This window comes from Homo sapiens, chromosome 4 (assembly GCF_000001405.40).
Source record: "Homo sapiens chromosome 4, GRCh38.p14 Primary Assembly".
NCBI classification, from domain to species: Eukaryota; Metazoa; Chordata; class Mammalia; order Primates; family Hominidae; genus Homo; species Homo sapiens.
The window spans coordinates 16,001,162-16,025,924 of NC_000004.12; the positions used below are offsets into that span (position 1 = coordinate 16,001,162).

The 24,763-nt window shown below is 42.9% G+C and overlaps 1 protein-coding gene and 1 non-coding gene across 40 annotated transcripts in view; both read right to left on the reverse strand.

Moving 5' to 3' along the window:
* The window catches only part of PROM1 (prominin 1), a 115,796-nt gene that overhangs the window by 32,934 nt on the left and 58,099 nt on the right, over positions 1 to 24,763 (reverse strand). For 38 of the 39 annotated variants that reach the window (NR_199807.1, NR_199806.1, NM_001441179.1 and 35 more), the window contains 8 exons: positions 24,031 to 24,151; positions 23,134 to 23,197; positions 22,165 to 22,254; positions 17,162 to 17,379; positions 15,005 to 15,079; positions 12,114 to 12,177; positions 7,788 to 7,947; positions 5,377 to 5,529 (listed from right to left, as the gene is read on the reverse strand). Coding sequence is in view for 37 of the 39 variants with exons in the window: in NM_001441179.1 (NP_001428108.1) it covers positions 5,377 to 5,529; positions 7,788 to 7,947; positions 12,114 to 12,177; positions 15,005 to 15,079; positions 17,162 to 17,379; positions 22,165 to 22,254; positions 23,134 to 23,197; positions 24,031 to 24,151 (945 nt within the window). In the remaining 2 variants the exon portion in view is untranslated. The remainder of the gene's footprint in view (positions 1 to 5,376; positions 5,530 to 7,787; positions 7,948 to 12,113; positions 12,178 to 15,004; positions 15,080 to 17,161; positions 17,380 to 22,164; positions 22,255 to 23,133; positions 23,198 to 24,030; positions 24,152 to 24,763) is intronic. The other variant, NM_001441174.1, reaches the window with a different exon arrangement.
* On the reverse strand, positions 7,515 to 7,626 carry LOC124900884 (U6 spliceosomal RNA). The gene has a single exon (XR_007058518.1). It is a non-coding gene; the product is annotated as a U6 spliceosomal RNA (small nuclear RNA).

Genomic DNA, 24,763 nt, shown 5'->3' on the forward strand with positions numbered 1-24,763 from the left:
AGGAGACACAGGAGGCATAATATAGGAGGCAGCAGGACTCGGAAAGCGCTGAACACGAGAGGTAGAGGCAAGGAAGGGCTCCAAGGGCAGTGCCAGGGAGCGCTGATGCTCTGGAAGGAAAGAGAAGATGGGCTGGATGTTGGTCTTGTTGCCAGAGACACTGAATGGAAAGACTGTGTAGGAGTCAGTATGTTTGGAGCTCAGATATCTGGGTTTCGGATGTACCTTAGGGAGCCAGCAGCTTAGCCATGGTCATTTATCCCCAGGGCTGGCTTGGAGAGAGAAACAGCCTAGGGCTGGGTCTGGAAGACTTCAACATTTACAAAGATGGGTGGTGGAAGGAGGGGCCAGCAAACCAGACCAAGATGATGAGGCAGAGAAGTAGGAAGGTAACTATGTGGGTGTGATGCCACCTAGGGGACAAAAGGAGTGTTTGCAGGAGGAAGGAATGGTCGGCTGTCACCAACCAATGTGCTGTCTGCATTGCACAGAGAGGTCACTGCCAACTTGAAACAAGTGCAGTCATGGGGGAGGAAACCACATCGGAGTGGACCGGAGAGTCAGCAGGAGAGGAGGGCACAGGCAGCAAGCGCAGATCACTCCTCTGAGAGCCTGTGTGGGGGAAGGAGAGCTATAGGGAAGAGGCAGTGTGGGTAAAGAGTTTCTGCTTTTATTTCTGAAGAAGGGAGAGAACAGAGCCTGGTTAAGTATTGAGTGAAAGTCAAGGAGACAGGAAGAGAATAAAGACATGGAAAAGAAAGGGGATGATCCATTTTATCAGGATCAGGGAAAGGAATGGGATTGAGAATATAGCTGGCGGGATCAACCTGAGCAGGCAGGAATCCCTCTGCTTCTGGCACTGCAGAGAAGGGATGGATGTGTTTGAGAGCAGGTGTGTTTGGAAGTTTGATGATGGGAAGTTGCATGATGGCTTCTATTTTCTCTGAGAAGAAGGAGGTAAAGCCATCTGCTGAGAGAGGGGTGAAGTAGAGGAAAATGGACGTATCAGAGTGAAAAGACTGTTGCAGGAAAGTGTGGGGGGTGTCGAAAAAGAAAAAAAACAGAAAGAGAAGGAAGAAAACAAAAGAAATAAAAGAAAAGATTTGTCAGACTATGGCAAGTCCATTTGAGACAGGAGATCCTAAGTTTGTAGGGATACCCAATGTACCCGGTGCGTAGCTTTTCTCTAGCAGTGCTTAGCTGTCTAGATGTAGACATAGAGAACAAACTCTTAAATCGATCTAGGTGCAGCTGCCAAATCAAATACCATCACTGGTGCACACTAGGAAGGAGCCTCAGAAGGGTGTGGGCTGATGCTCGCAATCACCACAGCATCCCCTCCTAAGGGCACGATTCTCCCCTTTGCCTGCAGATGCCAAAGCCATAATTACAATATTTGTGTATCTTCACTAAAATAAATAGCAAGTAATGTTCATTGGAAAGGCCTAGGTCAGCCTGACTTTCTCTGACCTACAAGGCTTCTGAGTCTGGGAGAGCACAAAGAAGAAGTGAGTGAGGGCCATGCCAGGATCCCTGTCTGAGCATGTGTGTCTGTGTGTTGGAGTTAAACAACTCATATAAACCAAGACAGCTGTCTAAAAAGGGCACCATGACTCTTACTCTAAATCGCATACAGTCACTATCTCCAGCCTTTATTTTCTAAATATGCACATTCCTAGATCAGGGGTAGGGGAACCACTGCCCAAGGTCTGTTTTTCTAAGGTTAGTGAGATAATGGCTAATGTGTACTGAAAATATTGAAAAGGAGGAAGAGGAGGGGGAGAATAAGAGTAAGATGAAAGAGCAAAAGAAGGTGAAAAAGAACAAGAATATGCGACAAAGACTGTGTATGGCCAGCAGAACCTAAAATATTTATTACTTGGCCCTTCTTGGGAAAAGCTTGCTGACTAACCCCTGATTTGCACAGTTAGGATAATACATGCATCATTTTCTGACCCCCTTTCAAATGCATTATCTTAGAAACTTTTGTCAACAAATTAGGACTGTCACCTAGTTATCATTTCAGGGGCCATGTGATCTTCCACGCATGGATGTGTCATAACTCACTTGGCCACTCTTCTACAGCTGGACATGTAGGCTGTTTCCAGTGCTTCACTATCATAACTAATACTGCAAAACACCTCCCTCTTCATGATGATTTCTTCACAGTTTGGCTTACTTCCTTCACCTAGATTCCCCAAAATGGAAATTATTCGGCAAAGAGCATCATGGTCTTTTTACAGCCCTTGCTATATAGCCTGACAAACTGCTTTCCATAACCTCAGAAACTGCCACCAGCCATAGGAATGTGCCCAGTTTGTGATACCTGTGGCTGCTCTTGGCATTGTTGTCAATACCTAAAATGGGAAGTTTTATGATGGGCTTCAAATCACGAGATGCTTGTGCCTCTGTTAGATCTCCTTATCTCTGGAGAGGCCTCCTACGCCCCCCTGCAACAGATAATACATTCACCACTGCATCCTATTCAGCTGCTAAAATGCTCCTGGGGCCAGGGGTAGCGGCTCACACCTGTAATCCCAACACATTGGGAGGCTGAGGTCGGAGGATCTCTTGAGACCAGGAATTCAAGACCAATCTGGGCAACAAAGCAAGACTGTCTCCACAAAAATAAAATTAAAATAAAATGCTTCTGGGACCATCTGAAGATAAAAGATCAGAGCAGAGCCAGGGCTCTCTGACTTTCCTCCTTCCAGATCTTTCACTGGTATCCTTTTGGGAGGTAAGAATTCCTGCTTGGTTTTGAAAGAGACCATGCTCTTGATTGGATGGTGTCACCATTTTTAAAGAGCAGGTGGTGTTTTGGTTGCAACAAAACTACACATACTCTTTCTGGTTTCTACAAGCAAGTAAACAGTTTTAAAAAAAGAAACTGCATTCTTCTAATTAGTCTGATTAGACTGATGACGCTTGTATCATCTCCTCCTTTTGCAATTATCCAGTTGTTTACCAGATACCTCAAGAAGCAGAGAATTCTGCCAAGCACAGCAAAGCGTGCCATGCTGACTGGTTGCATTCAACAATAAAGAAATCATAGCCACCCTAAGTCTGCAGACTCCTTGAAATGAATCAAACAACATCTGACAGTTACCAGCCTTCTTCCTGCTGCTGAGATGAATCCTATGGCCTCCATGCCACAGGTCTCCATGTCTATAGAATTAGTATATCTAAACTAAGGTAGCTTTTAGCCTCCATCAATTTGTTGATGATTTCTCTGTTTTATTTTTTCTTTCTTTGAAGCTTGATATCACATTTTTTGTTGTATCCCTTTAAAAAGTGTGAATAAAATTTCGATGAGGGGTGCACCATTTTTCAGAGCAATTTACCCTACCTTTCAAGTAGTTAAAAAAGATGGAAATATAGGTATATATACACACCCCACCAAAACACTAACAAACAACCAAGTTAAATTGTTGTTAAATTTGTAACATTAAACTTAAAATCAATTAAACATTAAAAGTAATGGCAAAAACTGCAATTACTTTTACAGCAACCTAATAATCTTCTGTTTAATGTATTTTTGTGTATCTGTGTACATTTGAACAAGAAGGGAAGACAAATTCATTTTTCCTTGCAGATGTGATTTCTCCTTTTTTTCTTCTCTGTCCACAGGTACTTGCAGCTAATCTTTCTTTCTTTCTTTCTTTCTTTTTCTTCCTTCCTTCCTTCCTTCCTTCCTTCCTCTCTCTCTCCCTCTCTCTCTCTCTCCCTCCCCCTCTCTCTCTCCCTTCCTTCCTTCCTTCCTTCCTTCCTCTTTCTTTTTTTCTTTATTTCTCGCTCTCTCTTTTTTTTTTTTTTTTTTGACAGAGTCTCACTCTGTCGCCCAGGTTGGAGTGCAGTTGGCACGATCTCGGCTCACTGTAACCTTTGCCTCCTGGGTTCAGGTGATTCTCGTGCCTCAGCCTCCCAAGTACCTGGGATTACAGGTGTGCACCATCATGCCCAGCTAATTTTTGTATTTTTAGTAGACATGGGGTTTCACCATGTTGGTCAGGCTGGTCTCGAACTCCTGGCCTCAAGTGATCTGCCTGTCTCGGCCTCCCAAAGTGTTGGGATTACAGGCGTGAGCCATCGTGCCCAGACAAATATAATTTCTTAAGCTTTGGCCTGTGAGCATCTAAGCTTCTGTTTGTGTGGAGTTCTTTGTCCAGCCCTGGTAGACCTCAGGTCATTAGCTCTAAGGTGATTTTACGACTCTAGTTTGTAAAGGCCTATACCATACTGGAGCCTAATTATTGTAGGGAAAGGATTTATAATCATAGCTTGTAAGAAGCCTGATTTATTGTTCCAGTGACCCAAAGTTTTTTGTTTGTTTGGTGTGTGTGTGTGTGTGTGTGTGTGTGTGTGTGTGTGTGTGTGTGTGAAAATTTGGTTTGAAGACCCAAAGTTTTAAAAAACAAATTAATCAAATTAATGTACAGCATCTGCTCTCCAGCCCGCTCACTCACAGCCCCGTGCTAGTGACTTAAGTGGATAAATGAGAGAACACGACTCAGGTTTTGGTTCTTCACTCCCCAAAGGAATTGTTTCAAACCTTAACCACTGACCTAGAGCCCCATCTCACTCCCTACTGCTGATTCTTCATGATCTTATCAAAAAGAGAATATTGACTTAGAACCCACACAGCTCTCTCCCTGCAGAGCATTCAAAGCCATTACACCACATCCTAGCTTACATTTCTGGCTCTGGCCCCGGTTGCACCTGGCTCATGCCTGCTATGCTTTGTCGTATCCATAGAGTCACAGGTTTTTCAAAGACACTAACTTGGAGGTCAATGTCTTTGAAGCAGGGACAGTCGCTCCAGTCTTCTGCCGCAGGCATACCTCTCCCTGCTGCCTCACACCTGTTCTCACGCCTAATCTAGGCTACCTGTCTAAATCCTAAGGGTTCTGCCTTGGCAGCCTTAGTTCTAAATCAAGTTTCTAGAATTTCAAGCTAGCAATACTGCTGACCAATACTGCTGTCCCACAAGAGATTGGCTCAGCCTCTGGTGAGTGAATAAATGAATGAATGAATGAATGACAAAAAGAAGGAACAATAGAAATCAAGAAAGCAAGTCTAGCTGCTTTTAAAAGGAGCCTGCCATATATAAATAGTGTGCTTAAGCTGGTCTATCAAAATGCAAGTAATTTAGTGTTGTTGTTGTTGTTGTTTGTTTGTTTTTAATGTTTAGGCTTGACAGAAGTACCCAAATCAAGGAAGGTCCCATCACAGCAGGATCTCTCCTCCTCGCGACCTGGGAGCTGGAACCCCGCGTACGTGGCCCAGAGGGCGCCGGGTTCATGTAACACCAGAGTCAGCACCCAGTCTCTCTCCTGCATTCCCACTCCCACATGACAGAGAGGAGCAGACACTCACACCATGAGGAAGACGCCTCCGGTGTTGGAGACACAGCCTCGGGTGGTCGGGGTGGCATGCCTGTCATAGCCGCACACGCCACACAGTAAGCCCAGGTAGTAAAAAATCACGATGAGGGTCAGCAGAGAGCAGATGACCAGGCCACCCAGCCACCTGGAGAGGCAAGCACAGTGTTAGTATACATGACACAGGTGACGCCACCCTAACACAAAAGCTGCTGGACTAAGGCTGGAGCCGATGAGTTATTCTTGGCTTCTAAAATCAGAGTCTTCTATCAATTCCTCAGAGGACAATAATGTTGAGTGAAAAGATCCCTTCACACCCTTTGCCTTCCAATTCAACCAGCGGAGAAACTTTTATTTTGATTCTAGGTTTGCATTGTTCCTGGTGGTCATGGGATCATTGCCTCCTTCCTTTGCTTTGATTCCCACGGGTGTCACACAGGGTTCATAAGCACAGCACACTGAGCTTCTCCAAGGCTACTGATGAAAACACCCTTAAGATTTTTATGTTCTTTTAAGGCCTCTGATGTTCTAAGTGCCTATTATAATAATGAAGGCATATGGCTAGATCATGATTAGACTACAGATAAAGAAATACTGGATTCTTTTCCCTGGGCCTTTTTCTAAAATATTTTGTGGTTGCAGAAATATTTGGGGCCACTGTGTTCTTTACTGAACCAGATTACATGGCAGATGCATGGGGTATTTAGAATTTTATGAGCATCCTAAATCAAATGCCTGCAGAATGCAAATCTCAATTTCATAATGGTCCTGCGAGACATTTAGGATAATGGATCCTCAATTAGGCCTTACTGGCATTCCCGGAAGGGAGAACAACCTTTCCCGGCAGCAAGAGGCATTCAAGGGTAGTAATGCTTCCCAACATTTAAGACACTAAAAAACAAAGAATTTACTTCTGCTTGGTGCCTCTTGACCAAGCAGCACCACTGAAGCTTTTCATTCAATTAAGAGCAATCTCAGTAATTATAGTAATAGCCACAGGCAGCCATTCTGGGGAGGTTTGTTCCAGACAGTGAGGGCACAAAATTAAATAAGCCATGGAGGCTGGCCTCAGAAAACTTTTAGAGTTAAAGGAGCATCTGCTTAGTTAATTTTCTTTTTAAGATAAGTTCATAGTGTCAGGGCAGGGGGAAAAGGAAGGGAGATGGATGGCAGTCAGGTAGACAGGTAATGGTACTATTCTTTCTCGTTTGTGAAGCTCTGATCTCTAATGAGATTATAAGTTCACTGAGAAAGGGTCTGCCTTCTGTTTGTTCTGAGACTTGCTGGGGTGGCCTAGCCCCACAAGGGAATCATGGCAGGTGCTCCCTGGAGCTCGTTGTTTGTGGGGCGATGACAAAAAGCAGAGCCAGATGGAGCTTCAAAACCTACCTCTGCCGTATGCTAGCTGGCCTTAAGGAAGTCACTTCACTTCCCTGAGCCCGTCTCCTTGTCTAGAAAACAGGGTTGTAAATGGAACACAGGCCAGGGGATTTTTGTGAGGATTAAAAGAAATGTGCAGAAAGTGCTTGGTGGGCACACTGAAACTGTCCCATAAATGGTAGCAACTGCTATAATTTTAATTACGTATCCTGTGGTCTTGTATAAGAAATAATCCACATGAGAATGAGTCTCCGGACTCCCCATGGGCTTGGGAGATATAAAGGGTTGCTGAGCTCTTCAGAGAGAGAAGTGCATCTTACCTAATACATGATCCTCTAAATTTCTTGAGCCTCCAAGTCCTTCCCTCCCCAGGGCTCTGACTGGGATGTCCACCACCCTCACCCCGGGTGAAACCCCACCACTCGCATTTTCTAATGGGACAACCAGTGGGCACCACAGCCACTCACCTAAGCTCTGGGAGCAATTCACTGGTTTCAAGGCACAGCTAAGAAAAGAATGCTCTTTCAGTAAGAACCAACCTCTGCATATTTATTTTATAAACCAATGTTTATATTGGTTTATAAAATAGAAAAGAATATTTCCCAGATGTCCTTCTTAATTACTTTTAAGCTTTAAAATCTCATTACATGCCTGGTTTGATAATTATAACTAGTATTCCAGAAACCACTAATGACATCAAAATTGCAAATTATCAAGTATTTGGCTCACGAAGGTCCAGTCTTCAACTTAAAAATAAACGTGGACTGCTTTACAAATTTGCATATCATCTGTACACAGGAGTCATGCGAACCTTCTATGCATTGTTCCAATTTTAGTATATGTGCTGCCTGGTCTAAGCGAGCACTTCAAATTCTAATGAACATAAACTGGGGTTAACATATATCAGGTCATGGCCTCCTTGTACAATTTGCTCTCATAAGATTATCCTGGTGCTAATGTCAGATTTTTATCTCGTTCTCTACAAAGTTCACTCTCGTAGTTCACCAGCTCCAAGGAGACACTCACCAGTATGAATCATACTCTTCCAATGTAGGTAAATTTCTGTGGATGTAACTTTCAGTGTTATTAACATAAACAGAGAATGCTGAGAGTATATCCTGAATAGGAAGACGCTGAGTTACATTGTCGATATCTGAACCAATGGAATTCAAGACCCTTTTGATACCTGAAAACAAAGATACCTTTGTTATGCATTTGCAAACATGGAGGAAATAGAAACTTTGTTTTGGAACCAAACAGAAAAGCCTGAACCACCTTTAGTTTTTCTCATGTCATGTATGTGTTTAAAATATGGTAAGATTCTTCAACAAGCATGAATATAGCCAAGACCATCGAAAAGCAATTACTTAACAAAACAGCAAGCTGTGAGCACTGACTTTAATGAGATGGTACTGAAGTCAAGCCAGTTTCCTTCTTCCACTTACTTTACTTAAAGTAGATCAAGTGATTAAAATGCATGGTGTGCAGACTACGTGCCAGGCACTTTTATAAATAGTAACTCATTTATTTCACTGAGGTAGATATTCTCATTCCCCATTTTGCTAACAGCGACCCGGAGGCTCACAGAGATTCAATTAATTGCCCATGGGTCTTTTAAAGAAAGCTCTGGTAACGGGATTGAAATTCGGGTGTATCTGACTCTAACGTCCCCCTTACATGCTTTTGGGAAAATAAATAATAATAATAATTTCTCCCTCTAAGAAATGGTATTCAGGGCCGGGCACAGTGGCTCACACCTGTAATCCCAGCACTTTGGGAGTCTGAGGTGGGAGGATCACCTGAGGTCAGAAGTTCGAGACCAGCCTGACCAACATGGCAAAACCCCATCTCTACTAAAAATACAAAAATTACCCAGCTGTGGTGGCGCATGCCTGTAACTCGGGAGGCTGAGGCAGAAGAATCACTTGAACCTGGGAGGCAGAGGTTTCAGTGAGCCAAGATTGTGCCATTCATTGTACTCCAGCCTGGGTGACATAGCAAGACTCGCTCTCAAAAAAAAAAAAAAAAAAAAAAAGTCTTCAGGAACAGAGTAATTCTCAAGGCCCATTTAAAAAACAAACAAACAAACAGAAAAACACAAGTGACTCTGGGTGATATTTTTGTTAAAATTTTACCTGACTGATACAAATTGAGACATCTTAGGAAGTACATCTGTGTCTTTTCTATGCAAAAACCAATAGTAGTCTCAGTGGCCAGTTTCTTTTGCTCAGTCGTAATTTCTCAGACAGGAGTTAAGTTCAAAGAAAACCAGTTTTCTGGAGAGTGTCCATCACAACAGGTCCTAAAATCAACTAACCTTGGGTGCAGGATTTCACCTGAACCAACGCTCACATGAGTTCTGAAGGTGGCTGTATCCAAGTGATTCTTGACACGGACATACTAAGAACACACTAATCAGTTAAAAGTCCACTGATCCTGCAAGAGAGGTAAATCTCTTTGCAGCAGCAGAGAGACAAGATTAGCAGTTCTCAAAATATTATCCTGAGGCTCCCGGTGAACTTCAGGTAGAGAACAGAATGGTAGCTTGGTCCAAAACGTAATCACATAAAAATGGCAAGAAACTTTTTGTTTTCTTTTTGAGACAGGATCTCTCTGTATTGCCCAGGCTGGAGTGCAGTGGCACGATCATGGCTCACTGCAGGCTCAACCTCCTGGGCTCAAGGATCCTCCCACCTCAGCCTCCCAAGTAGCTGGGACTACAGGTGTGTACCACCATGTTCAGCTAATTTTTTATGATTTTACTTTTTGTAGAGATGGGAAGATGGAATCTCACCATGTTGCTCCTGGGCTCAAGATATCCTCCTGCCTCAGCCTCCCAAAGTGCTGGGATTATAGCAGTGAGCCACCACACCCGGCCCTGGAAACTTTTTTAAAGTTTGTTTTTCACATAGCTATGACATCTAGAAATCAAAGACACAGAAGCGAGCAACAGAGTGTCAGGTGTTTGGGTGTGACTCGTTAAGAAAGGACTGTTACTCCTTGGGGGCTCATTGCCTTCTCCAAATGGCTCGTGTGTGAAAACACCTGAGGATCCTTGGCCAAAAATGACTCAGTGGGTCTCTTGGTTACTTCTGAGATTTTCAGAGATGGGGAATGCAGCCTTCCCATGTTCTAGGAGCAGCTCCTAGGGCCCCTGCCTGCTTCTCAGCCTGGCTTGCCCTCACGCACGACATGGCTCCGTGACTTTGCTGCTCTGACAACTCTCTATGTGGCTGGTGTCCTCTCTTGGCATATACCCTCTTCAAACCTCTCTCGATGTCCCCTTTTCCAGGCAGCCTCCCACTAGCCTCTCCTCACCTTGTTTCCCTGACACAAACCTGGTCATGGTGCCAGAGTGTGACAACAAGTCTGTGTACACATGGCTGGCTAAAGGACAAGCAGAACTCATGGCTTATGCATCTCACAGCCCAGTGCCTGGCAGAGCCTGGCACAGAGTTGGCACTAAATAATTTGTTCAGGTTGGGATGAGACAACCTAAACACGAGAGCAAAGGACATGAAACTGAACACCTGCTATCCAGGCTGACAGAGCGGCACTGGCCCGGCTCTAGGAAGACACTGGCTTGTGCTCAGGCAATGGCACCATGCACCATGGGCCGCACTCAATGCACGCAGCACAATTTGCTGTGTCAGACTTACAAGGAAGGGCTGCATGTATGGGCAGGAGAGGTCCAGAGAGGGGAAACCAAAAAATTAAACACAGAGATTAGTGAGCAGGTGGCTGTCAGACATACAGCATGCATCAGCCTTCAGAGGTTAGCACATCAAAGTCTGAACCCTGTCCTTAATATCTTAATATTTTCAAGTAGAATCTTATATTATGCAAAAGGAAACCCACAAAACATCTAAAGTGTCATGTAGCAAGATAAAACACTTTTCTACTCAAACTCTTCATGGGTCAAAAGAACACTATTAGGGAAAAATAATCAAGTATCTCTAACATAATATTTTAAAACCACTTACTCAACAGTTAAAAGCAGCACTAAAATGATTTTTAAAAGAAATAGAAGATAGCTTTACATAGCTTCAGAGATTTCTTTTCTTTTCTGTTCTTTTTTGTTTGTTTGTTTTTGTTTTTTTTTGAGAGAGAGTCGCCCAGGCTGGAGTGCAGTGGCACGATCTCGGCTCACTGCAACCTCCTCCTCCTGGGTTCAAGTGATTCTCCTGCCTCAGCCTCCCGAGTAGCTGGGGTTACAGGGATGCACAACCATGCCTGGCTAATTTTTGTATTTTTAGTAGAGATGGGGTCTCACCATGTTGGCCAGGCTGATCTCGAACTCCTGACCTCAGGTGACCTACCCGCCTTGGCCTCCCAAAGTGCTGGGATTGCAGGCGTGAGCCACTGCGCCCAGCCCAGAGATTTCTTCTCCAAGCAAATAATCCAGGTTTGTCTCTAACCTTGCACAAAGAACTGCTTCCACTGCATTCTCTCCCTCTGTACGTTCACCCCAAATCCCATAACCCAAATACAGCATGATTCAGTAATTTGGGTAGAATCCTCTCTACATTGATTCTGTCTCTCCAAAATTGTAAGCAACCTAAGGAGCCTAAAATACTACTGCCTCAGCATCAGTGGACAGACTAAAATCTTCCTAATAGACAAAATAAATTCTTTTACACAGTATTCCTTTAAAAAGTTTGATTTTGGCCAGGCACGGTGGCTCACGCCTATAATCCCAGCACTTTGGGAGGCCGAGGCAGGTAGATCATGAGGTCAGGAGATCGAGACCATCCTGGCTAACACAGTGAAACCCCATCTCTACTAAAAATACAAAAAAATTAGCCGGGTGTGGTGGCGGGCACCTGTAGTCCCAGCTACTCAGGAGGCTGAGGCAGGAGAATGGCGTGAACCCGGGAGGCGGAGCTTGCAGTGAGCCGAGATTGTGCCACTGCATTCCAGCCTGAGCGACAGAGCGAGACTCTGTCTCAAAAAAAAAAAAAAAAAAAAACAACAAACTTTGATCTTAAGTTTGTTTAGAAAATATAATAATCTACAGTTTTTCTCTTCAGTGAAAATCAGAATGAGTTTCCAAACTGTGGCTGCTGTAAGATCTGAAGGCGCACACTCTGGGGACCTGGATCACACTGTGGCTGTCAACCATGTGGCAGCTGCTGGCTGGGCTGGATGATGTTTATCAGTGTTCAATAACAGGTTTGTTCTTGTTTTTAACTGTCCGAATGACACAATTGTAAAGCTCTGATATTTGTTTAGTTTTGACAGCTTTAATGAGAAACTGTTTTTTTAAGAGGAAAAGAACAATGCAATACTTGGCAACACATTTCTCTGTACTGACCTACCAATCACAAAATCACCTCAAACTGTGAATCTCACCTGCTACGACAGTCGTGGTTTGGCGTTGTACTCTGTCAGGTATATCATTAAGGGATTGATAGCCCTGAAAAATATTTCAAAATAAAAGGATGTACACAGTTAAGTCAAAGACTAGTTGACTAGTCACTCATTTTGCAACTCAGTACGAGTAGAGAGGCAAAATAAAAATATAACATTCATCTTAAGGGTGAAATGATCATTATATGGTCATCAAGAGTCTAAAAAAATCCCCTTTAGAGAGCATTGTCTTTAAATTATATCAATCAAAGGTCGTGTTAGAAGTTTTTCATATAGGGGGTCCCCATAATTTTAAAATCAACATATTTACACAGAGCCTAGGTACTATTATGGGTACATACATCTATACCAGTGGTTCTCAACTGGGAGAAATTTTGTTCTCAACTAGGGTATGTTTGGCAAAGTCTGGAGACATTTTGGTTATCACAGTTGTGGGGTGCTGCTGGGATTGTGTGGGGAGATGCCAGGGATGCTAATAAATACCCAACCATGCACAGGAGAGCCCCCGCCGCTAACAGCCATGCACAGTGTCACCAGTGCTGAGGTTAAGAGACACTGATCGGTACACTATCCCATGGGCAGACAGAAAGTGAATTTCTAAAAACAGAATCTTACTTTCTAATTAAAAATAAAATTAGAAATATAGTCTAAACGAAAAAAAAAAATGTCCTAAAGCATGGCTTACAGAGGATACAACTGTGGTGAGGATAAAACAAAAACAAAAAACAACCGTGCCGAGCGATAGGGCTTTGGGGCTAAACCCCCCATGAGAGGGAAATATCATTATTTCCAAATAATTCAACTAAACGTGCAGCCTTTCCTCTGGAAGAGGTTTAGTGGGTGTTTCTTCACTGTCTGCTGGTGTACTTAGCCGTCTGCCAGGGAAAAGTACAGCACTTTCAGCCTTCATAAGACTTATGGTGCCAGCCAGTTTCCACCTTAGCCTAGCTACATCAGATGTCACAAAATGAACATCCATGACTTCCGTTTCCTCCAAGGAGACTAAGCTACTCAGCACACCGGTGCTTGTGTTGGTTTTCTATATGCCTGACTCCTTGACATTCATCTGTGTCTGGACTTGCAGATGTCATGGGGGGTTTCACAGCTGGAAGGTGTCTTACAGATCTCCCGGTTCAATGCCTTCTTTAACAAATGAAGTAACACCAGAGTGCAAAGACCAAGAAATTTGGAATAACTTGTTTAAGGGACCACTTACTTTGTCGGTAAGTAAGTGTCTGGTAAACACATGTAGACAAGTGTTTAATCCATTTATGCTGAAGGTTGCAAATATTTTTTGTGAAAAATCAGAACCTGATGATGACATTTGGCAGTAGGATATAAATAACTCCCACAAGCTTAGCGTTCCAATAATAGAACACTAGGCATAAATGGGTTAATAGAGATTTGAGACTTTTTACATCCATCCTAAAAGACAGAGTTAAGAATAAAACTATTCTCTCATTTTCCCATAGGCCCAGGCACTCTACTGAACCATAATCTAAAAAGAAATATTTATTGCATACTCAGTATCTATTAGTTGAATAAAGAGCAAGATTTGGTAAGCTACTGGGGAAATCAGGGAATTCCAGACCAATGCTGTCCCTGCGTTTTTGGGGGTTTACAGTTCAGTGGTGGGAAGGGAGACATTAAAGAAATAATTACAGTTATGAGGAAATTAACAGAGAATATTTGCAATGCTGCAGGAATGTATTAAAAAGGGTTTGACCTAGTCAAGAAGCCCAGGAAAGGTCTGTTAAGAAGGTGATATATGGACCGGGCGTGACGGCTCATGCCTGTAATCCCAGCACTTTGGGAGGCCGAGGCGGGTGGGTCACCTGAGGTCAGGAATTCGAGACCAGCCTGGCCAACATGGCAAAACCCCATCTCTACTAAAAATACAAAAATTAGCAGGGTGTGGTGGCGTGTGCCTGTTATCCCAGCTACTCAGGAGGCTGAGGCATGAGAATCGCTTGAACCTGGGAGGCAGAGGTTGCAGTGACCTAAGATCATGCCACTGCACTCCAGCCTGGGCAACAGCGCAAGACTCCATCTCAAAAAAAAAAAAAAAAAAAAAGAAGAAGAAGGTGATATATGAAGCTTAAAAAACTAAGTAGCGGCTGGGTGTGGTGGCTCATGCCTGTAATCCCAGCACTTTGGAAGGCCAAGGGGGGCAGATCACTTGAGGTCAGGAGTTCGAGGCCAGCCTGGCCAACATGGTGAAACCTCATCTCCACTAAAAATACAAAACTCAGCCAGGCATGTTGGCGCACAGCTGTGATCCCAGCTACTCAACAGGCTGAGGCAGGAGAATCGCTTGAACTCGGGAGGCAGAGGTTGCAGTGAGCCGAGATCGTACCACTGTACTCCATCCTGGGTGACAGAGGGGGATTCCACCTCAAAAAACAAAACAAAACAAAACAAAAAAACAACTAAGTAGCTAGCTACTTGGAGAGGGGAAAAGAAGAGAGTGCCAAGCAGAGGGAAGAGCATGTGCAAATGCGTGAAGGTGGGTAAGAGCAAAAAGAAAACCAGTATAGCTGACTCACTGGCAGAGGGGGACAGCATTTTGTATCAGAATCAGTGTGGGGTTCAACATCACACCCACTAAATTCTGAGGCCTAGGAAAGCAGAGGTCATGTTCTTCTTGATCTCTCATGGTCTTAGCATGCCACTTCACACATCATAGATGCTTAACAAAAATTCTGGGAACTGGAAGGATGAACACAATTGCCTGGAAGGTAATAGCTATCACCCTTCTTGGCAACCTTTCTCTAGAATTTCACTGCTTTTTTGCTATTTCCTATTTTCTTATGTACTAGTCCACCCTTTAAAATGATATAAAATCAGTGATTGTATTTTTTCCAAAAGCATACCTGTTGGACCAGGCCATCCAAATCTGTCCTAAGAACGTTATTAACGTTGTCAAGTTCTGCATCCACGGGTGGAAGCTGAAAATTTATAAAACAAAATATAAGACAAGGTTGTTACCTTCAAAACAATTCCTCATGAAGAAAGAAGTCATTGTATATTCCAAGTCCCAAAGCATCTATACTACAGGGTACAATCGCAGTTTCTTTTGAACAATAGAGTTTTATTTCGGAAAAACACAGCTCAGACCCTCCTTGACAAGCACTAATTTTTTGATGTCTGGAGGTCTCTTGCTGTAACCAGCTAAAAAAAAGAGGCAAAGAAATGTAACACAAATGTAATATATATGACTTCACAACTTCAAATACTAAAGATGGTCCAATAAAATTGTAAACAACCTTTTTAAAGTCACTTTTAAAAGCAATGTAGTCAGTGGTTATATTAGTGAGTAATCTGGAATCGTTTTTCCACTTACAGTATTATATATGGATTTGAAGTTCTCTAGCTCCTACCAATACTGGGACGAACATCATATGCCTCCCACATGATGTCCAAGAACATAATATCACTACTGTGATAGTTCCCTGGCAAATATGAGTAACTTTAATCCCAAGAAAACATCAAACAACCCTAAACTGAAGACCATTCTACAAAGTAAATGGCCTGTTCAAAAATGTCTGTGTCACAAAAGAAAAGGCATACTTAGAAACTGTTCCAGATTAACAGGAATGAAAGAGACATGACAATAAATGACAATGTGTGATCCTGGCCTGGACCTGAGACTGGAAAAAGAGAAGATAGTTATAAAAGGCATTTCTGGAAAGATCAACATTTGAATGCACACTGTGGATTAAATGGTAGTGTCGGGTCAATGTTATCCTAATTTTGATCATTATATAATGATTATGTAAAGTTAGGAAGGACAATAAAATATTTAGGGGTAAAAAGGCATGATGATGTCTACAACTTATCCCCAACTTACCTTTTGAGAAAAGAACAAAATGCATATTATTTTATGCATGTATATATTAAATGATATGAACAGACAGATAAACTGATAAAATATGATAAAGCAAATGGTGCAAAATCGTGACCCTTGAAGAATGTGGCCAAAGGGTGTGAACAGGGATCCATGCGTTCATCTTGCAAGTTTTCCACATGTTTGATACATATTAAAAATAAAAAGTGCACCCCAAAAGGATCTATCTCAAACAACTCAGTTGCAACTAAGCTCTAAAAAACTGTTCAATCAAAAATGATTATAGTGATATCCAGACACAGATGTCGCAGGTGAAATGTCTGAAAAACAATGGAATGAAATGTAAAAGTAAGAAAAATGTATCTATACTAAAATGTTATTTTATATAAAATGTGAGGTGTCCGGGCGTGGTGGCTCATGCCTGTAATCCCAGAACTTTGGGAGGCTAAGGCAGGCAGATCACTTGAGGTCAGGAGTTTGAGACCAGCCTGGCCAACATGGCGTAACCCTGTCTCTACTAAAAATACGAAAATTAGCCAGGCATGGTGGCGGGTGCCTGTAATCTCAGCTACTCAGGAGGCTGAGGCAAGAGAATCACTTGAACACAAGAGGTTGGAGGTTGCAGTCAGCTGAGATCGTGCCACTGCACTCCAGCCTGGGAAACAGAGTGAGACTCCATCTCAAAAAAAAAAGTGAGGTGTGTATCTAACTAAATCAGTTAGACATCATTAATAGACATGGTCATTTTACCTATATCTCAGAACTTCATGTAATCCAAGTTGTTCCAAATTCTTTTTAAAAAATCTTTTCTTTGGGAAAATCGAATTTTCTTCTATTTCAGCATACATGGCTAATAGACTAGGCACATATTTAAAAATTTTTTAATTCTTAAAGGTCTACATGAATATATTCTGTTTCCTTTTTTCTTTGTAAAGTTGAATTAATTCTGATATGTTTCATTCAATGGCAGAGAACTCTCATGAAGCGGTTCCCTTTTACTCCTTTGCTCCTGCTGTGGTCATTCCAATATGGTGATCAAATGACTCAAGAAGGCTGATAGAGGCCAGGGGCTAACTGTTCTCCAAGTCAGGCCACCATGCACTGGATAGGTCACCCACGCTTAGCCCTGCCCGGCAATCCCCAGCATGCAGCCCTTGACCATGGCAAGCTCATGCCTGCTCACCTGCCTCAGTTCAGGGTTGCTATTCAGCTGGCTTAGAGACAATCTGATGCTGTTGCAGGTTTCACTTGATGGATGCACCAAGCACAGAGGGTCATTGAGAGATGACCGCAGGCTAGTTTTCACGCTGGTCAGACTGCTGCTAAGCTGTGTACTTTGTTGGTGCAAGCTCTTCAAGGTGCTGTTCATGTTCTCCAACGCCTCTTTGGTCTCCTTGATCGCTATGGAAACACAGCCCGCTTCAGAACACACATGCCAAGTCCCTCCTCATCTACAAAAGTGTGTCTAAAGGGACTTGGGATGGACTGGTAAATGACTTTAGATGGCAGTGAGAGGGACACACTGCAAGGGGCAGTCTGAGAGGGGAATACAGGAGCATCGCTAGGCTGCTCTAACAGCTGCTCCAACTAGCTCCACTCTTCCACTTGGGGTCTCTTTCCAACAAGAAGCAGGGGGCAAGCACCAACCCAGGAGCATGATGGGGACACCTCAATGCAGCATTAACTGGCCAGCAGTGGCCAGCAAAGTTGTCACCACCCAGCCTCGAAGAGCTCAGTCCAAACAAGTCAATCCCAGCAGTGTAAATGCACATCAAAATGGATTACGCCCAGATATATTTTAGCTCTATTTATTCTAAGAGTTGGAATCAAAACTAGCACAGTAGTTAAGAGCACGGTTTTAGATTCAGGCAGGTCTAGGCATGGATCTCAGCTTTGCTATTTGCTGTGTGACTAAAAATAGGCTCCTGAACCACTCTGAGCCAATTTCCTCATCTTCAAGTACTGAAACACCACCACATTCATCATGCAACATGGGGGTTAGATCGGCCAGATGAAAATGCCTCAAAGGCAGTGGTCTGTTTAATTTTGCAAACCCTACCCCCTAGGACACATTCTCATACAGAGAGTACCCAACTAACAACAGTTCAATTTATGATTTCTCAACTTTATGTTAGTGGAAAGCCATATGCATTCAGTTAAAATCGTACTTCAAATTTTGAATTTTGAATTTTGAACTTTCCCAGGCTAGTGATATGTGGTAGGGTACTCTCTTGCAGTGGCAGCGAGCCACAGCTCTCAGTCAGCCATGCAATCAAGAGGGCAAACAACGCATATTCTACAGTGTATTAAAAGCATTTTCCACTTAAACAATGTTTTCAGTTCACCATGGGTTTATTGGGATGTAACCCCCATCGTGTATTTGGAGGGGCATCTAGTACCAGGAAACCCAGAAAAATTGTTTGCTATCCTGATCTATCTGGATGATGGAGCTACCTATACATGACTAGGGAGGTAGGGAATTACAACTTTTTTTCTACAGTGGCTTAAAGCCACAGCAGTAAAAGATGTGAAATTTAAATTAGAGGGCTTTGCTCTTCTTCTAAGCAAATAAATCTTCTTGGTCAGGTCTTCGCTCTGTGGTTCACAGAACAGATGGTGGAGGATCAAGCTGCAATTGGGTGTTTCAAGGAAAAGAATGAATGCCCTTAAAAACTGGCTTCCCCACCCTTTCCTGGCAGCCACATAACAGAAAATACTTGAGTGTTAAAAATACACACACACACACACACACACACACATTTTAAAAATGTTTCCGTGTTGAGTCTAGCCAAAAGTAGCCCGAGGTTGCATCCCAGTTCTGCTTCTACCCTGCTACAGCACATCTGGCAAACTCTCACTTCTCAGGACCTTGGTCTCATCTATAAATTAGGGAGTGTGTTGGGTCACCTCCTGGTTACTAGAAGAGTCTGATTCCAGGTTGTGCCCTAATAGCTTGTGGGGCTGAGCTCTTAGGAGATGGTCTCCCCCATGCTCACTAGGTCTGGTTAGATACTGCAACCTAGCTTTGAGGATGTACCCAGAGACCTGGGGAGGCTTCCAGAATTGAACTGTATCCTCCTTGGTCTCAAATTTCTATCACTTTACCTGAATAGAAAACCTTAAACTCTGCTTCAAACAGTATTTTCTCTTGAATTTCAGTCTAATCATAGCTTAACAATATTTAAGGTTGTAATAATATTTAGGACTATCGAAGAGCACCCTGGGTATCAGTTTTTCATCTCTCCCACCTATCATCCAGTATTGTCGGTGAAGCATGAAGTCTGGTATCTGGATCATAGCAGAAGCTCAATAAATATTAACCACAGCAAAACAGAAAAGAACTCAGCTGCAACCAGAAATACACAGAAATACACCAGAAATACACAGAAATACTCAGAAATACACAGAAGAACACAAAAGAGCAGGCTAAAACACACTTCATGTTTTAATGTTCTGTGGTTTACTCCTCACGGCCCTTTTCACTTTGACTTCAGGATAAGTTATCTTAAGGCAAGAACCACCACCACCACCACCAACAACAACAGAGAATGACAGGTGATAAAATAAATGCATGGCCCAGGAAATGTGTATTAAGCACTGTTCATAGCCATTCTAGCCCATGGATAATATTCTGTCATGTCACACGGAGGACTCAGAAGTAATAAATACATGTTTTCCAAAAGCTTCAAAGTATTTTATGTCTATAAACTATTAACTGGGTTGTAACTCTGGAAGTCAGTCCAGGCCCACCAGGATCATATATGTTATGTATCTGAAGTAAGTGGAAAAGATATCTAAGGTTCTTAATTTTACTTAATTACCATTTTGCCAGCCCATAGTATATTTCCTTTATAGGTCCTGATCTGCAGTCCAAATATGATTTGCACACCAAAATAATTGCATGTTTCTGCTCTCTCCAAAACCCACTAAACACACAGGGCTGCAAATCATTTTTAGCCAAAAAAAAAAAAAAAATGCTGGAGTAGTTTATTAAGCATGTTTTAAGAAGTTCTGGCAACACCAGAGGCTAAATTTTAACTTATTCCAGCTGAATTAAAAAAACAAAAAAAAAGAACTTTAATAATAACACACGAGGCACTGAAGAGAAAAAGAGAATCTTTGAGTTATCTTTTACCTAAAAAGTACTAAAATTCAGTTACTAAAAATTGCAAGAACATTGGGCAAAAAGTAAAGGTATGCATCAACCACAGTCCATCATTCATATACTTTTGCCCAGCCTTCACTGTTACTTAATTTGGGGCTGGAAGAGACCTTGGATCTCTTCAATATTGCGAACATAATATATGTGATCTCTTCAACATTGCAGTCACATAATATATGTGAGCTTGGTGGGCCTGGAATGACTCCCAGAGTTACAACCCAGTTAATATGTTATAGACATAAAATACTTTGAAGCTTTTGGAAAACAAAAAGATCTTGTTCAATATTGCAAACGCACTGACGCACGAGGGATCCAGGCTGCAGTGTTGCCTGGCATCATCTGGGGCCATGTGAGCACTGGAATCCCAGATTTCCAATTCTCCCTCCAGAGGTGCATGTGTTGCCTCCTTGTGGATGTCACCACAACACCCGCCATCTTAACACTCTTCAAGGTACTAAGTCCCATCTAGGGTGGTCCAGGTAACACGGGCTCTTGCTAGAACGGGGTCTGAATCCCAACTCCACCACTTCCCCCAGCTACCCAATTGCTATGGACTGAAGTATGTCTCCCCCAGATTCGTATGTTGAAGCCCTAACCACTGATGTGAAGTTTAGGGAGGTAACTAACGTTAAATAAGGTCATAAGGGTGGGTCCCTAATCCAACAGAACTGATGTTCTTACAAGAAGAGGAAGGGACATCAGAGATGAGTGTCCCAGACAGGAAATGAGACTGGAATGATGGACAGGGGCCAGGTGTGCAAGGAAGAAAGGAGTAGGGGAGAGAGGGAAGGAGAAAGGAAGGAAGGAGGGAAGGAGGGAAGAAGGGAAGGAGGGAAAGAAAGAAAGGGAGGGAGGGAGGGAGGAAGGAAAGAAAGAAGGAATGGAGAAGCCACGTGGAAAAAGCCAGGACAGGAAGGCAGGAGGCAATGGTCTCTGAGGTCATATCCCTTCTCTGGGCCTCCGTTTCCTTGCCTGGAAAGAAAATGGTTGGTAATGAAGAGAACAGATGTCTAGAGAAATCTAAGCCATCAACAACAGAGGATGTTGTTCGTGATGTTATTGTCGATGTCGAGAATGTTGTTGTTGGCTGGACCCTTTGCAGGGTCAAGGAGAAAGGGAAGGAAAGGCCTTTCAATTAGTTAGGACTCATCTTAACAACTCCTGGCCTGTTCTGCACGTCCTCCAGTTTCTGCACATTTGTCTCAGTTGTTGAACTATAAGGCATGCCAAAAGGAACTGGAATAATTTTCCAATTTCCACGCAATTCTCTTCTTTATGGACTATGTTCTCAGGGATGCTAGCTCATGAAAGTAAAATTCATATTGGCAAAATGAGTGTTTTACATAGATGTAATTGTCCTCTCTATCAAGTACCTAGCAAGGACATTTTTCTCAACATTAGGAAGGGCCTAGGAGGTCTTTTTTCATTACAGTGGAGCATGCAGTTTATTAAAATCAGTATATCTGTCACTTATACCATTGACCATGGAGGCTTAAGATATATATGTATATTTCTTGCTTCTAAGTTTCTCTTTCAGGAAGGAAAAAGGAATCAATTTCCCTCTGATTGACCTAAATGTCTATAGGTTCCTCGTCTTCTGTATCAGGGTCAACAAATTTTTCTATAAAAGGCCAGATAGACGGTAAATATTTTAGGTTTTGTGGGTTACACTATGTCTCTTCCAACGACTCAACTCTGCCATCATAGCACGAAAACGGCCACAGATGATATCTAAACAAATGCGTATGGCTGTGTTCCGATAAAACTGTGTTTAAAAAACAGGTGGTGGGCCCCTAACAAATTCCGCCCTATCATCTGAAATGGCAACAGCTTTGGCACAAGCTTTAATAAAGAGCACCACCAAGCTATTGCAACACAGTGTCTTGACCTGAACTGTCTGCATGGCCACGGACGGTGGCTCTCCCCAAGCCAGCTCTCAGGGAACAAGAAAAGAGTGAGCAAGCCTGCCAAGCCCAGGGACTCCTGGATGGAACTTTCTTTGGTCATTTTTGCCCACTGCTTACCTGTTGCCATGGACTTAATCTCATCAAGAACAGGGATGATGTTGGGTCTCAGTCGGTCAAGAATTCCGCCTCCTAGCACTGAATTGATACCTACATGCAAATAAGCACAAAGATGGTGAGGGTGGCCTCTGCTCATCTCTCCACCCCTCCCTCATTCTCTCCACACTGCCTCAAGCCCCTCCTGCTGCAAAACCCATTTGCATCCTGGACCCTGTCTAGGGGTTAAACTCGTGTATGGAGATTTCTCTTCAGGGTCTCCGCACCAACTGTTCCCCAGTGAAAAATTAATCACTACAGACTCACCAGGAGCATGGTGTTATCATCTTGACCTGTGTGTAACTCTCTGTGTATCTAACCTCTTCGGCTAGACCAGAGTTCGCACCTGGACTGCACTCTGGTGGGGGCTGTTGTGAGCATTACGGGATGCTTAGAGACATCCCTGGCTTTGACACGCTAGATGTTGGTAGCACTGTCCCCACCCCACCTTCACCTCATTGTGACAACCCAAAATGTCTCCAGATGTCACCAAATGTGCCAAACATCAACCCCCAGTTGAGAAGCACTAAGCTAAACCGTGGCATGCAGGGTTGAGCCCTCTCCATCCAGCCATTTCTGAAGCCACCGGTTTCTCTGAGGAGCTGGCTGCGTCTGTGCAGGGCACCTGGCAGGAAAACAATCTTTCCCTCACGAAGGAAATGGAGAATGAGAGCTTGTGACTGCAAGAATGCTAAAGCTTTCCAGTAAGTGTAAAATGAAAAAACAAAAGGTCCTGCTGCCTGTGAAACAGATGCCTTCGATGAGGGCTAGATTCTAATCGCTGAGTAACAAATGACACATTGGCAATAAGGCTAGGGAATCATCTTTCTGTCTTCCCCCAACTTTCACGTACGTCATTTCTTAGTCCATGTTTTATGGGAGATGAGTCAAAACAAAGAAAAAAAATGTGAAGCAACTTTAAATTTTACTCACTGTTCAGATCTGTGAACGCCTTGTCCTTGGTAGTGTTGTACTGGGCCAATATATATTTGATTTGCTGAAAAAAGAACATTCTGTGAAACCTCCCCTTCTAAGGTCCAAAGGCAATAAGAGGGCAAAAAGAGATTTAATATACAAAAGTTTTCCTGAATCAGGACATTTTCAGGTAACCAGCAAGTTCCTAGAAACCTTTCTGCTTTCTGACAAGTTGGAACCCATGAGCATCACACATTTAGGCTGCTTCCTGCCCAGACACTTTTTAAAACGATGTTCTGAATAGGTAATTCATCAACATACTTCTGGAATACAGAAGAAAGGGTACTTCCTCTCCCATCCCCAACCTTCAACCATCCCATTGCCCTTCTCTAAAGACAATTTGTGTGTCCGTGAGTATGTGTACGTGTGTGTGTGTATGTGTGTGTGTGTGATAGAGACTGCTTGTGTGTCCTTCCCAAGGAATTCGATATATCTATGCAGACATTAGCAAATGGATGTTTATAAAGCTGGATGGTTTCATTACAAGAGTAACTTTGTACAAGTGATGGAAAGTTAACTATACTGCCAAAAAGAAAGGATAATAAGGCCCAAAAACTTTCATTTTTTTAAAAAATCATAAGAACCTTAAAAGTGTTAAGTCCTTCTATAATATGTACTGTAATGTTAAGTTATATCTCAATAAAATAAAAACACCAATTCTGAAATTCGGCTTTTGTACTCTTGAAAATCACTTTCCAGGGCTTTATTTATTCATCCAGGACATTAACAGATAACACCAGTCTACGCTGATTCACTGTGTTTCTAGAAGGTTTGATTGAGATTCCAAATATACACAGGAACTCCAAAAAACCAAAAATATAAAGCATCGCGGTACATAGAGATGATGGTTTTTACCTCTGGAGTTTCATTCAAGAGAGTTCGCAAGTCCTTGAAATTGCTATCTGCCAGTTTCCGACTCCTTTTGATCCGGGTTCTTACCTGGTGATTTGCCACAAAACCATAGAAGATGCCAATGCTGCAGGAAAAGGCAGAGAGAAGAAAGAGCATTTACTGTGTGGTCCATGGTTCTTTGTCCAGGTCCAGGCAGCAGAGCAGGAGTCAGGGAGGAGCCCGCAGAAGGACTGGCCTTTCCTCTCCCGCTGCCCTCTCCTCCCACATCCTTCCCACCGCCATCCCACAGTCAAACCACCACCCACGTAGGGGCTACAAAACAGGACTCAGTCCTCTCAGAGGAGGCAAATTTCCATTCTGTTCAAAATGACTCTCGTCAATGGAACAATGTTCACAACAAATTGTGGAGGAAATAGGTGCAAAAAGGTTATAAGGCAGCATGCATGATCCAGTCCCATTCCTGTCCTCATGTGAATGTGTGTACACACCCTCCTGTGTGAACATATGCATGTGTGTGAACACACACACACGCACACACACACACACACACACTTCTGCTCCCTGACCCCCCAAAGAAGGCTATAGAAAAAAACATCAAAATGGTTAAGAGTACTTGGGCTTCTAAGGCTTTTGGTTTCTCTAATTGTCTGTTAGTGCCTGTATTGTCCAGGTTGGAAAGTAACATGAGTTACTTTAGCATTAAAATGGTATGTGAGAAGCCACATACAACAGAGCA